The following is a 14,125-nucleotide window of genomic DNA, read 5'->3' as shown; positions in this document are numbered from 1 at the left end:
GTCTATTTCTCCCTTCAATTCTGTCAAATTTTGCTGCATATATCTTGTTTTATTCCTACTATGGGAATTGCATCTTGTATGAGAGAAATCAATTATCCTTCCTGGATGGTCCACCAGATTATCTGTGCTTTCCTCATTTTAGAAGCTTCTGGGTATCCTTCCTTCCTTCCTTCCTTCCTTCCTTCCTTCCTTCCTTCCCTTCCTTCCTTCCTTCCTTCCTTCCTTCCTTCCTTCTTTCTTTCTTTCTTTCCTTTCTTTCTTTCTTTTCTTTCTTTCCTTTCTTTCTTTCTTTCTTTCTTTCTTTCTTTCTTTCTTTCTTTCTTTCTTTTCTTTCTTTCTTTCTTTCTTTCTTTCTTTCTTTCTTTCTTTCTTTTCTTTCTTTCTTTCTTTCTATGGAGTTTCAATCTTGTTGCCCAGGCTGGAGTGCAATGGTGCGATCTCGGCTCACCACAACCTCCGCCTTCCTGGTTCAAGCAATTCTCCTGCCTCGGCCTCCCGAGTAGCTGAGATTACAGGCATGCGCCACCATGCCCGGCTAATTTTGTATTTTTAGTAGAGACACTGTTTCTCCATGTTGGTCAAGCTGGTCTCGAACTCCGATGTCAGGTGATCTGCCCCCCTCGGCCTCCCAAAGTGCTGGGATTACAGGCGTGAGCCAACGCGCCTGGGCACTTCTGTATATCTTTTTCAAGAAAACATGATTTCCTGGTGGGATGATAGTTTTAAATATCTGGCAATCTCTAACAATTCATTGGAATCACAGGGTAGCAGTGGACAGAATGATCCTGATGTCATGTAAGAAACAGGATTTTAGTGGAGCACTGATTATACTGGTATTAAGTATCATTTATTACAATAGGAATGAGTCACTTTTGTGTTCCTCAAGATGGACAGATTCCTTGAGTGGAATTAAATAGTTTCTGCAAAGCAGGCTCAGATGTCTCTGAAGAAAGCAAACAACCGTGGTAGCCAGAATAGACCCAATATTAGTCCTGATTTATTGGCCTTGTAATGGCCTCAGCAGAAGCAATTTGTTGGCACGAAGTCTAAGCACAATTGTTGCAAGACTGAAGGTTGGGATGAATGATGTGAGTGAAACATAATTACCATAAGGAGCCAGTTAAAGGGAGGTTGCCTTGTGAAGGTTTTAAAAGGACAGCTATGAAATTTTTGTCAGCAGGGTTGTTAGATTCAGAGTGGCAGCAATGGTTTGGGAAAAAAAAGTATAAGAAAATTTTGTTTTCTGTTAAGTGGTAGATAGAGAACATAAGAGGTCAGAAGTAACAGGATGAGGGCCAGGTACAGTGGCTTGTGCCCATCATACCAGGTACTTGGGAAACTGAGGTGGGAGAATCACTAGAGCCCAGGAGTCTGAGGCTGCAGTGAGCCATGATTGTGCCACTGTACTCCAGCCTGAGCAACAGAGTGAGACCCTGGCTTTTAAATAAAAATAAATAAATAAATAAATAAATAAATAAATAAATAATAGGATGAAAATAGGAAGCTAACATTAATATTTTAGATGGCTTCAGAGTAGAATAATAGCCAGGAAAGGGTGTTGAGTCAGATTGTTAATCCTTATCCAAAGTGCTGGGCAGAAGCTATCCACCTCTGAAGTCAGCATCTTCTGGAGCATACCTAAGAATCTCAGTTTAAGATTTCCAGTGGAATGGGTGTCCAAGAGTCAGGAGGAAATATTGTATGTCTTTTGAGCTAGGAAATAATTTACCTAAGGATCCATACTTTGGAATATTACTGCTGGGTCAGTTGTTAAGTATCTGATAAGGTCCATTTCCTCGAGGATCAAAGGCAGTTAATCTCAGGTCTTTTCCAGAACACTAAATCTCTTGTTGTGAATCACAGGTGAGTTGTTTGGAAATGAAGATCATATCTGTTGATGATAAAGCTGAAGGTATTCTATGACGCCCTTGCAATTCTTAATCATATTTCATCATAATTGTAATAGGACCAAATCAAAGATTGGTGGTGAAATTTTCAAATACATGGACAGGCCATTTTTCTTTTTCTTTTTCTTTTTTTTAGAGACAGGGTGTTGCTATGTTGCCCAGGCTGGAGTGCAGTAGCTCTTCACAGGTGCAATCATAGTGCACTACAGCCTCAAACTCTTGGCTTCAAGCAATCTCCCACCTCAGCCTCCTGAATAGCTAAGATTATAGACGCGAGCCACCGCACCCAGCTTGGCCTCGTATTAATTCATAAGGAGGTAACCTGTGGGTCCCAGAAGGGGCTGATCTTATACACACTGAAGCTAGAGGTAAGATTTTATTTTATTTTTATTTTTTCAATTTGAGAGCAGGTACTGTTTATTAACTGACCAGCTTAGAAAAATAATCATGGAAGACACCTTAGTTCATTCTTCTAATAAGCCTGTTGATCTGGTCCTCCCTGTTGCCAGCATCTCCACCTTCTACAAAATGGGTGGCCTTTTTCTTCATTCCACCTCGTGGATAAGATAATTTGAAGGGCCACAGGAAGTTATTTGTTTTTTTGCAGACTTTTCCAACAGTATAGATCCCTTGAATCAGATCCTCCATGCAGATAATGCCATATTTACCAAGAGATCAAGCAATCAAAGCGTTGTCTGTCAAAGCAATTCTTTTCTTATTGATTTTGCCATAACCACGCTTGTAGCCTAGTTCATTTACTGACTTCAGATTTGGGTACCCGCATGCAATATATGGCTCTACAATCCTCAGCATGTTAACTGAAGCCCTGTTAAGCTTCACAAAGTTTCCATTGAAGATTTGACAAAGGCGAAGAAGCTGCAACACCTTTTGGACCTTTGGGTTCACACCATTGATACCTCTGATCCTGATGACAAATGCCAATTTGGGTTCTGCACGTACATAGAAGTTGCCAGCTTTTCTTGCCCCCCTCACTATTCAAATTTCAGTTCTGTACATCTGCCTATTCGCTTTTTCACAGATAAGTTTCCTCCTTGCCTTTTGAAGCATCTTTTGGGCAAACTTATTTCTCAGGCACTTGATCTTTAGCTCTGCAAAATTCCTTTTCTTTTTCTGAAGGGTTTCTGGCACAGCAGGAACCTTCTTCTTCTTCTCTTTGACACCCTCTATGGTTCCAGCTGGAAAAGAGAAGATTTTAGACCATTGGAGTTTAAGGGAGCTTTGTTCATCTTAGCTGTCAAATTTCATTAGTTCTCTCTGTTTTTCCTGAGGACCGTGGATGATAAGGACAGTAAAGTTTTTGGGTAAAAGGCAAACTTTACAGAGTTCCTTAATAACAATACCAGTAAAATGAGTGTCGTTGTCATTATTAGAGAAATAAGTGGAAATTCCAGGTTGGAAAACAAAATCAAGCAGAAATTTTTGCCACAGTTATAACAGCCATAACTCTCCGGCAAGGAAAAGCTTTAATCCATCTTGAAGGAGAAAAAAAAAAACCAAAATAATCAGAGCATATTTATAGTCCATTGCAGGAGGCATTTGTATAAAGTGATTGGAGGTCTGAAGGGCCCTCGAGATCTTAGTTCTTGTTCATATCCCACCTTTGCATTTGCTAGGATCGCATTGTTGGCAGTAGGACAAGTTTTTAAAATATCCTTGGAAATACCTCTAAAATTACCCCCACCAATGTTGATTTAGTATAGTTGCCAATTTGTCCCTGCTATTATGAGTAATATCGCAAAGCATTTTTCTGAAATTCCCCTTTAAATCATTTGCCATTATGTGTCAGCTATCCTGACAGCATCAAATAGTCTCTTTTGCCATGAACATCCAAACTTTTCCCACTTCCAGATTTTTTCACTTTTCTACTTTTGGGAATCAGGGGTTTGTCTCTGACAGTTAAAAATGGCCTCTTTGAATCCTCCAAGACCCCTCTTTTCTGTGTGATTTGCAGGAGCATTGATCTTGGTGACGCTACTGGGGTTAGCATGGTGGCCAGCTAAAGTATTACTAGAAATTCTGGGTCTTTGTGCATTGAATGGTGGTCTACTTTTATTACAGCTATTTCCTCAGGTAACAGCAAAGCAGCTGAAAGTTTTATTTTTAATCCGTCATCCAATTTTTGCAGATTTTTGTGGAGGTTAGAAAACTCTTCATTTCCAAAGCATTCCCAATTCACAGACTCCCCAAAAGTGCATCTGCCATTAGTGTATATGCTTACTCTTTTACACTTTAGCAGCCAGCAGACCCAGATGCAGGCAATTATTTCAGTCATTGGAGCTGATTTAATTTCTGGAGTGGTCTCTACTTTAAGGGTGAATTTAGGTCTGTGATAGCATTTTAAAATATGAACAAATAAAATCAGGTCAGGGCTATCCAAGGGAATTTCTAACAAGATGTTTTAAGAGCATGTGAAAAACACTGAGAGTTAACAGAATAATTTGGTGAAAAAAAATAACCTCTAGTAATCTGGGTGCAAAACAACTGAGTCATTTTACATGACAGAGCCAAATCCTAATTTTACTCCTTTGGTACATAATTTTCTAATAGATTATAATAAAGGCTCTATTAATATTCCTTTATTTGTATGCATTTAGGCATACACAGATATATAAATATACAAATAGGTAACAAATTAAAGCTTTCTTTTTTAAGTTGTAATAAAAACACTTAAAATGAGATCTGCTTGTTACCAGTGGAGGGCGTTCAGGTTCTTCGCATTTTGAACAAAGAACTGGACAGAACGCACAAACAAAACAAGGAGCAAACAAATTTTCATTTATTGAAAATGAAAGTACACTCCACAGGGTGGGAGCAGGCCAAGCATAGGGGCTCAAGAGCCCGGATTCAGAATCTTTTGGGGTCCAAATACCTCCTAGAAGTTTGCCATTGGCCACTTGGTGTTCACCCCATGCAAATGAATAGTGGTCCACAATCAGAGGCTGAAGTGAAGTTACAAAGTTACACTTCTATGCAAATATCTGATTGGCTGCAGAAAGCAACCAATCAGAGGAACTGTCCATTTTCCATCTGCAGAGCAGAAAAGCAGGGGGTTTGCAAAGGGAGTAGCTTCTGGTCCTTTTGTTACTTAGGCATGGAAAGTTGGGATTTTCCTTTCGATTTAGCTCTAGAAATTCAGTGTGAATCAGCCTTAGGTTCCCTGCCTCCAGACCCTATTCTCCTGCCGCATACTCTCTTAACAAATTTTTAAGTAAACAGGTACACAGTATTGTTAACTATGAGCACGGTGTTGTATAGCAGATATCTAGAATATGTTTATCTTGTATAACTGAAACTTTATACCTCTTGAATAGCAACTCTCCATTTTGTTACCGAAACACCAGGGATTCAGTCTGAGTCCTGCTGTTTGCTGCACAGATAGCCAACGGCTGAGATGATTACTGCCAAGGAAGAAGGCTTTAATAGAGTGCTGCAGTAGGGGAGATGAGAGATCAGTCTCAAATCCATCTCCCTGACTGGCTAAAATTAGGGGTTTATATAGCAGAGAAAAAAATGTAACAATGTATGGGAAAACAGGAATTCTGAAGGGCTAAGGAAGCAATCATGATGAATGAGGGGCCTGGCATCTCATTGTCTGGATGTGATGATCTGGTGAGTTTCCGTTCTTTGATACCTTCTGAGAGGCCTGGTATTTAATTGTCTGGATCTGGTGAGTTTCAAGCTTTAAGTTTATTTTTTAAAAACTGTCTATGTCCAGGCGCGGTGGCTCACGCCTGTAATCCCAGCACTTTGGGAGGCCGAGGCGGGCGGATCACGAGATCAGGAGATCGAGACCATCCTGGCTAACACGGTGAAACCCCGTCTCTACTAAAAGCACGAAAAATTAGCCGGGCGTGGTGGCGGGCGCCTGTAGTCCCAGCTACTTGGGAGGCTGGGGCAGGAGAATGGCGTGAACCCGGGAGGCGGAGCTTGCAGTGAGCCGAGATCGCGCCACTGCACTCCAGCGTGAGCGACAGAGCGAGACTCCGTCTCAAAACAAAACAAAACAAAACAAAACAAAAACTGTCTCTGGACAGTTGGATTGGTTTTAATTTCCTCCTCTCCCGATCCCCTGAAAACCGTCATTCTACTTTGTTTCTATGAGTTGGCCTATTTTGGATACCCCATGTCAGTGGAATCATGCAGTATTTGTTCTTCTGTGACGAGCTAATTTCACTTAGCATAATGTCCTCCAGGTTCATCCATAGTGTTATATATTGCAGAATTTCCTTCTTTTTAAGACTGATTAATATTTCACTGAATGTACATACCAAATTTTCTTTATTCATTCATCTGTTGATGAATAGTTAGGTCATTTTCATGTCTTGGATATTGTGAATAATGCTACAATGAACAAAGGACTGCTAATATCTCTTTGGGATCCTTCAGTTCTTTTGAATATATACCCAGAAGTGGGATTGCTGGATCATTTGGTAGTTCTATTTTTCATTCTTTTATGAACCTCTATATTGTTTTCCACAGTGGCTGCACAATTTTACTTTCCCACCAACCGTGTACAAAAGTTCCAATTTCTCCTCAACAGCACTTGTTACCAGTTGGGAGCTTGTCTCACTTTCTTTACCTTTTTTTTTTTTTTTTTTTTTTTTTTTTTTGACAATAGCCACTCTAACAGGTGTGAAGTGATATTTCATTGTGGTTTTGATTTGCATTTCTCTTATGATTAGTGATGTTGAGCATCTTTTCATATACCTGTTGGCCATTTGTATGCTTTCTTTTGAGAAATGTCTATTCAAGTCCTTTGCAAGGATGGCTCATCATATGTAAAACAATTAATGTGACACACCACGTTAACAAAATGAAGGATAAACATCAAATGATCATCTCAATAGATGCAGAAAAAGCATTTGACAAAATTCAACATCTTTTCATAGTAAAAACTCTCAACAAACTAGGTATAAAAGGAATTTTCCTTGACAAAATAAAGACCATATATGACAAGCTCACAGCTAACATTATACTCAACAATGAAAAACTGAAAGCTTTGTCTGTAAGATCAGGAACAAGGCAAAGAATACCCGCTCTTGCCACTTCTAGTCAACATAGTACTGGAAGTCCTAACGGAGCAATTAGGCAAGGAAAAGAAATTTAAAAGTCATACAAATTGGAAACGATTAAGTAACACTATCTCTGTTTGCAGATGACATAATCTTATATGTAGAAAACCCTAAAGACTCCACACACAAAAAAAAACTTAGAATGAATAAACAAATTCCATAAAGTTGCAGGATACAAGATCAACATACAAAAGTTAGTTATGTTTTGGTACACTAACAACAAAGTATCCAAAAGAAAATTACAAAAAACAATCCCATTTGCAATAGCACCAAGAAGAATAAAATACTTAGGAATAAACTCAACCAAGGAGATGAAAGACTTGTATGTAACACTGATGAAAGAAATCAAAGAAAACTACATAATATTGATGAAAGAAATCAAAGAAGACACAAGTAAATGGAAAAACATCCCATGTTTATAGATTGAAAGATCTAATAATGTTTAAATGTTCACGCTACTTTGATCTACAGATTCAATGTAATCCCTATCAAAATCTAATGGCATTTTTTTTTTTTTTTTGAGACAAAGTCTCACTCTCTTGCCCAGGCTGGAGTGCAGTGGTGCGATCTCAGCTCACTGCAACCTCTGCCTCCTGGGTTCAAGCAGTTCTCCTGCCTCAGCCTCCCGAGTAGCTGGGATTACAGGCACCCGCCACCATGCCTGCCTAATTTTTATATTTTTAGTAGAGACGGGGTTTTACCATGTTGGCCAGGCTGGTCTCGAACTCCTGACCTCAGGTGATCCACCCATCTTGGCTTCCCAAAGTGCTGGGATGACAGGCATGAGCCACCACACCCAGCCTCTAATGGCATTTTTTTACAGAAATAGGAAAAAATAATCCTAAAATTCATATGGAACCACAAAAGATCCCAAATAACCAACACAATCTTGAGAAAGAAGAACAAAGCTGGAGGCATCAACTTCCTGATTCCAAAATATATTACAAAGCTATAGTAATTAAAACAGTATGGTACTGTCATATAAACAGACACAAGGACCAATGGAACAGAACAGACAGCCCAGAAATAACCTAAGTGTATATAATCAACTGATCTTCAACAGGGTGCCAAGAATACACAATGGACAAACGATGGCCTCTTTAACAAATGGTTTTGGGAAAACTGAATATGGACATACAAAAGAATAAAATTGGACCCCTGTCTTACACCACACTCAAAAATGAGCTCACAATGGATTAAAGATTTAAATATAACACCTAAACCTATAAGACTCCTAGAAGAAAACATAGGAGAAAGTCTTCATGACATTGGTCTAAGCGATGATTTCTTTTATATATCAAAAGCACAGGCAACAAAAGCAAAAATAGACGAATGGAACCACATCAAACTAAAAACCTTCTGCACAGCAAAAGAAACAACAGTGAAAAGGCAGTCTATGGAATTGGAGAAAATATTTGCAAACCACATATCTGAGAAGAGGTTAGCTAACATCCAAAATACATATAGAACTCCCACAACTCAATAGCAAAAATTACTTTAAAGCTTTTAACTATAGCCTTAAAATATAATTGAATAAAATATGTGTATATTAAATGTATTTTGAATAAACTGTAGTAACTTTTCTAAATAAACAGAAAATCATACCTTATTCTGTACACATACCTGTATCTCTCTGCATTAGTGTATCCAGTACAATTAACCATCTACTCTCATTATTATATTTAATTAGAGTAACCAATCTTCTTGTTTTCTCAAAAAAAAAAAAAAAAAAAAAGCCCCGAGAAAAGAAAGTTTAAAACTGTCCAGCTAAGACTGGCCACGGTGCCACCATGCCCAGCCCAGTACTGATATTTTCTGAGATTTGATCTCACACTTGGCTGCGGGGCTTTTACCTAATTCCTTTGAGAACAATCCTGCCTCTGCTACCTTTGGCCAGCTATTGGAAGGGGCATCCAGCTCTCTGCCAGCCACCTCACCCTACTCAGACAGGGGGCCCAACTCCACCTCAAACCAGGAGAAGTGGAAAAGAGTCTTTTTTCCTGCTGTTCGTCTGAAGGTGCAGGTCATCCCTAAGTGCACGTGGCAGTCCAGGTCTCCCCTGTGCCCTGGAACATCCTTCTCCCTGGCCTCTGCTCCTGGGTGTCTTGAGAAACATAACTTCTTGATCACCAATTTAAGTATGACAGTGGGGTTTAGAAAAAAGCTATGTTCCCTTTAAAGAAGGGGCTTATTTGCTTTTGCTAATAATCCCAGCCAATACTTACTGAGTGTCTATGACTTGTCTACTATATATACCTCCTCACCAAATTCTCAAAACATCTCTTTGAATTATTTCTTTCTTCCCTCATTTTATGGATGAGAAAACTGAGGCTCAGGAAAATTAAGTAACTTGCCCAAGGACACACAGCTAGCAAGTCACCAAGTTGTATCTGACCAGTCCAGTCAACCCCAAGACCTGGGTCTACCCAGGACACCACACTGCCTACAAAACGCTGCAGGGTGAAACCACAGGATCCAAAGAGCCAACAACAATCCAAGACTTTCCAGACACCGTGGGGGCTGATAGTAGACAAACTTGGCCCTAGGCCAAGAGGCCCTCACGTGCCAAGCACTGTAGGCATTTCTTAGAATTCTTTGTGTCTTTTGTTTTCATTATCAGCAAGAAATGCTACTTCACAAGGCTGGAATATTTCGTGTAATGTGATCCTATAAACACACGCTAAGCGGGGAGTAAACAAGGCAGCAGACATGCCGGAGAGAGACCTGAGCCCGAATGCGTGGGAAAGCTTCAGAGCAGTGCACCGGGGAACACAAACATCATTGGCTGCAAAAAAGGTCCCTGTAATGACCTTTGTCATTTGGGGTTTACTGTTGCTGTTTCCCTAAATACAAAGAAAGTGCACAAAGAGGCCAGGCGCAGTGGCTCACGCCTGTAATTCCAGCACTTTGGGAGGCCGAGGCGGGTGGATCACGAGGTCAGGAGATCGAGACCATCCTGGCTAACACGGTGAAACCCCGTCTCTAAAAATACAAAAAATTAGCTGGGCGTGGTGGCGGGCGCCTGTAGTCCCAGCTACTCGGGAGGCTGAGGCAGGAGAATGGCGTGAACCCGGGAGGCGGAGCTTGCAGTGATCCGAGGTGGCGCCACTGCACTCCAGCCTGGGCGACAGAGCGAGACTCCGTCTCAAAAAAAAAAAAAAAGACAAAGAAAAAGCAAAGAAAAGAAAGCAAGTGCACAAAGAGAGAATGAGGTCAAGTGGGGGAGGCAATGAGTTCAATCTGGCAGGAATGCACAGCAGGTTATAAAGATGGCCCCAGAACACGGGAGCTGGGCCATGGATGCATGCAGGGGTTTGACCTGGGGTTGGGGGGACAAGCAGGAATCTCCAGGTAGCAATCTTGGTGGTGGTGGGGTTCTGGCAGCTCTGCCTGTGGTGCAGCATCAGGGGTTAAGGACGTCCTCCAGAGGAGCGGCGAGGGAAACTAGGGGTGTCAGTAGACGATCTGGGATTCCAGGCCGCCTCCAGCCTGGCTGAGAACTGCCGGATCAAACAGAAAGCAGAGGTGATGCTTTCTCATTCAGACGGGGCTGGGTGGGAAGGAAAGGCTGTGGCTTTATGGCACACACAAAGTGTGTGGGGTCAGGACATACCGCAGATCCCCAGCTCCCTGAACCCTCCGCCTGCCTCTCCCGCGCTGGCCCAGCCCCGCAGGCAGAGGCACGAGCCATTGATGCAGTATTTGAAGGTGGCTGAACCCAAGCAGGAGGTGCAGCCTCTACCCGAGAGGGGGTGCAGGCAGAAGAGTGGGAGAGAAGCCTGGAGGTCTCCTGTGGCCAACGGGCCCCATGCCTGCCCCTCAGCAGCATGGGATGACTGGCGAACCCCAGCCGACCCCACATTTACTAGACTCCACGGCTACCGGTAGGGTTACAAGTTTAAGTGACTCTGAGGCCTAAACCTCCGCCCGATTTCTGGGGAGAGTCCAGCAGCGCGCCCTGGTGGCCAACCGTGCACCTCCCAGGTAGGGAAAGGCCCGCGGGGTCCCTCCTGCCTGCGGGATCCTCAGGCCAGTCCCGCGGGCGCTGCTCTGCTCTCAGCGCTACCCACCTGCAAGGGGCACGGCTCTGACCACAGTAGAGGGACAGCCCGTTAGGCGCCACCTCGCAGCTACAGCTCTTTGGGCTTTTCGGTTCTTTGAGCAGGAACTTAAGCCACATTCCCCAGGGACCAAGAAAGAGTTTTGGAGCACCCTTGGTGCAACCCCAGAAAGTAGCATTCGGAGAACATTGGCCACCCTTTATTCAATAGCTGAATGGTGGCTACTTTGCGCCTATTATTTTATTTCTTACCACCTCTCCATGAAATAAGTAGTGTTATTAGCCTCTTTTTACTATTAAGAACACTGAGGTTGGTTTTTTTCTTTTTTTTACATTGAAGTGAAATTCACATAATATAAAATGAACAATTTTAGAGTGAACAATTCCGTGGCAATTAGTACATTCACAATGTTGGGCAGCCACCACCTCTATCCAGTTTCAAAATATTTTTATCACCCCCAAAAGACACCCATACCCATTAAGCAGTTGCTTCCCATCACCCCACTTCCCCAGCCTCTGGAAACCACCAATCTGTATATGTCTCTACAGATTTACTTATTCTGGGTATTTCACATAAATACAGTCATACAGCACGTGATCTTTGTGTCTTGTCTGGCTTGTATTGCTCAGCATAATGTTTTCCAGGTTCATCCACTGAATGGAAGAATCAGTACTTTATCCCTTTTATGGCTGAATGATATTTCATTATATGGATATAACACATGTTGTTTATCCATTTATTTGTTGATGCACATTTGGACTATTTTCACCTTTCGGCTATTGTGAACATTACTGCTGTACACATGAGTGTGTGTGTGTGTGTGTGTGTGTGTGTGTATAATTTTTATTTATTTATTTTTTGAGACAGAGTCTCACTCTGTCACCCAGGCTGGAGTGCAGTGGCACAATCTCGGCTCACTGCAACCTCCGCCTCAGGGGTTCAAGCGATTCTCCTGCCTCAGCCTCCTAAGTAGCTGGGATTACAGGCATGTAATCCGGCTAATTTTGTATTGTTTTAGTAGAGACAGGGTTTCACCATGTTGGTCAGGCTGGTCTCGAACTCCTGACCTCAGGTGATCCACCTGCCTCGGCCTCCCAAAGTGCTGGGATTACAGGCATGAGCCACCATGCCCAGAGAGTGTACATATATTTTTGAAGTGCCAGTTTTCACTTCTTTGGGGAATATACCTGGGAGGGGAATTGCTGGGTCATGTGGTAATTGTATTCTAACATTTTGGGGAACCATCAAACTGTTTTTCATAGTGGCTGCACAACTGTACATTTCCACGTGCAATTATGAGGGTTCCAATTTCCCCACATCCTTGCAACACTGATTTTCCATTCTTGTCTTATTGTAGTCATCCTAGTGGGTGTAAAGTTGCGCTGAGGCTTATGTGGATAGGGTGGGTGAGACTGAGAAACCCAAGGCCTACAGCTTGGATAGAAAAGTGCTTTCTGCAGACCTGTCCCTCTCTATTGGCCCCACCACCTCCCCTCTAGTAGCCCATGCCAACCCCAACCCTAACTCCATAAGAGGCCAGCAAATCTTCTTTTCTATCCCGTGCCACGTGGCGAGCTCGGTCATCCTCTTTAAGCCAAATCTCCTCAGTCAGAGGGCCATCATTTTGTCTCTCACCTTAATACCAAGAACCTAACCTTGGAGCCCCAAGTGTCCTTCCTGGGCTCTGCTATGGCCCTGTGTCCTTACCCAAGATCAGCAGGTTCCCAGGGCTAAGCACACACGGGGAACAATTATTGGACTAAGTGCCATGGGACAAGCTTCTTGTGCCAGCAGAGCCTCTCTCTCTCTCTTTGAGGGAGGCAAGGAGATCCTCTGGTTTCCATCTCAGGGAGGCACTGGTCTGAGAGTGAAGGGCAGTGCCATCCTCTTCTACCGTGGGCCTTTGGAGCACTGACCCCACACCAGAGCAGGATGGGAAGATGCCCCCAACACAGTCCCCAAATGCCTTCCTCCTTCCTGCTCCTCCATGCAGGCTCTCCCCATCCATCTGGTCAAAGCCAATCTCCTCCTTGGAGACTTATCCAAGTGCCCCAGACCCTAGAGCTTCCTCCATGTCCTGACTACCCACAGCCCATGTAATCTTCTGCCAGGGCTCTTAGCAAGGAGCTTTATCTCCTGGGGTGTGACCAGTCTATGAGGCTGACAATTAGGCCTTCCTCAAAGCTCTGAAGGTTACTGGAAAATCCACTCAGAGATGAAATAAACACCCCCAGAAAGGCCAGGCATGGTGGCTCATGCCTGTAATCCCAGCACTTTGGGAGACCAAGGTGTGTGGATTGCTTGAAGCCAGGAGTTTGAGACCAGCCTGGGCAATATAGTGAGACCTCATCTCTATAAAAAGTACAAAAATTAGCTGGGTGTGGTGGTGTGCGCCTATAATCCCAGCTACCCGGGAGGCTGAGGTGGGAGGATTGCTTAAGCCCGAAGGTGGAGGTTGCAGTGAGCCAAGATCATGCCAGCCTGGGCTATAGAGCAAGACCCGGTCTTGAAAAACAAAAACAAAACACGCCTGCAGACATCATCTAGAAATTCAGAGGCATTCCACATGAAGAGCAGGAGTCTGGAAACCCCATTAGGTTTTGCCGATGTAAAAGAAGATATGGCCTAACCACACATGGCCCACATTATCTGGAGGAAAAATGTGGTCACGAGATAATGTGGGTGGTGTGGGGGCTTAGGACAGGACAGGCAAAAAGCCAGTGTGTGCATGTGGCTCCAGCCTTGCCCTGCAGAAACGGGGTCCACCTCAGCTAGTGGCAGTGCAGCTCTCCTAGTAGGGATCCTGGCATGAGCCTAAGCCATAGCTCTCACTGGAGGGGTCATACATGAGCTAGCCTGCCCACCAGGCTGGTGAGTGGGGCCCCAAGTGTGCCCGCTGCAGAGTTAGTGGGCATGGGTGCCTAGAGAGGGTGCCCCAGCCCATCCATTCCCAGAACCCAGCCTCAGGCAGAAGCTGTTCTCAGGAGGTACCGCCACCCTGTGGACCAGTTGGGTACTGCACAAGGACTACCAGCCAAAGGGCAAGCAGGAGCTGAAACCCAGC

General features: G+C 43.4%; 1 pseudogene, besides 2 other annotated features; it reads right to left on the bottom strand.

Moving 5' to 3' along the window:
* Positions 1 to 2,508: 2,508 nt before the first annotated feature.
* Positions 2,509 to 3,111, bottom strand: RPL7P8 (ribosomal protein L7 pseudogene 8; annotated as a pseudogene).
* Positions 9,538 to 10,411: an enhancer, noted in NCBI's record as "H3K4me1 hESC enhancer chr1:110186678-110187551 (GRCh37/hg19 assembly coordinates)". NCBI's record gives its function as "activates a minimal SCP1, AML or CMV promoter by ChIP-STARR-seq in naive H9 embryonic stem cells {active_cell/tissue: H9 hESC(naive)}" and the evidence as "EXISTENCE:reporter gene assay evidence [ECO:0000049][PMID:30033119]".
* Positions 10,786 to 11,080: an enhancer, noted in NCBI's record as "tiled region #1493; K562 Activating DNase unmatched - State 5:Enh". NCBI's record gives its function as "activates a minimal TATA promoter and a strong SV40 promoter by Sharpr-MPRA in K562 cells {active_cell/tissue: K562}" and the evidence as "EXISTENCE:reporter gene assay evidence [ECO:0000049][PMID:27701403]".

This window comes from Homo sapiens, chromosome 1 (genome assembly GCF_000001405.40).
Source record: "Homo sapiens chromosome 1, GRCh38.p14 Primary Assembly".
NCBI classification, from domain to species: Eukaryota; Metazoa; Chordata; class Mammalia; order Primates; family Hominidae; genus Homo; species Homo sapiens.
The sequence above is the reverse complement of the archived record's forward strand: the minus strand, read 5'-3'. Positions and strand labels throughout refer to the sequence as shown.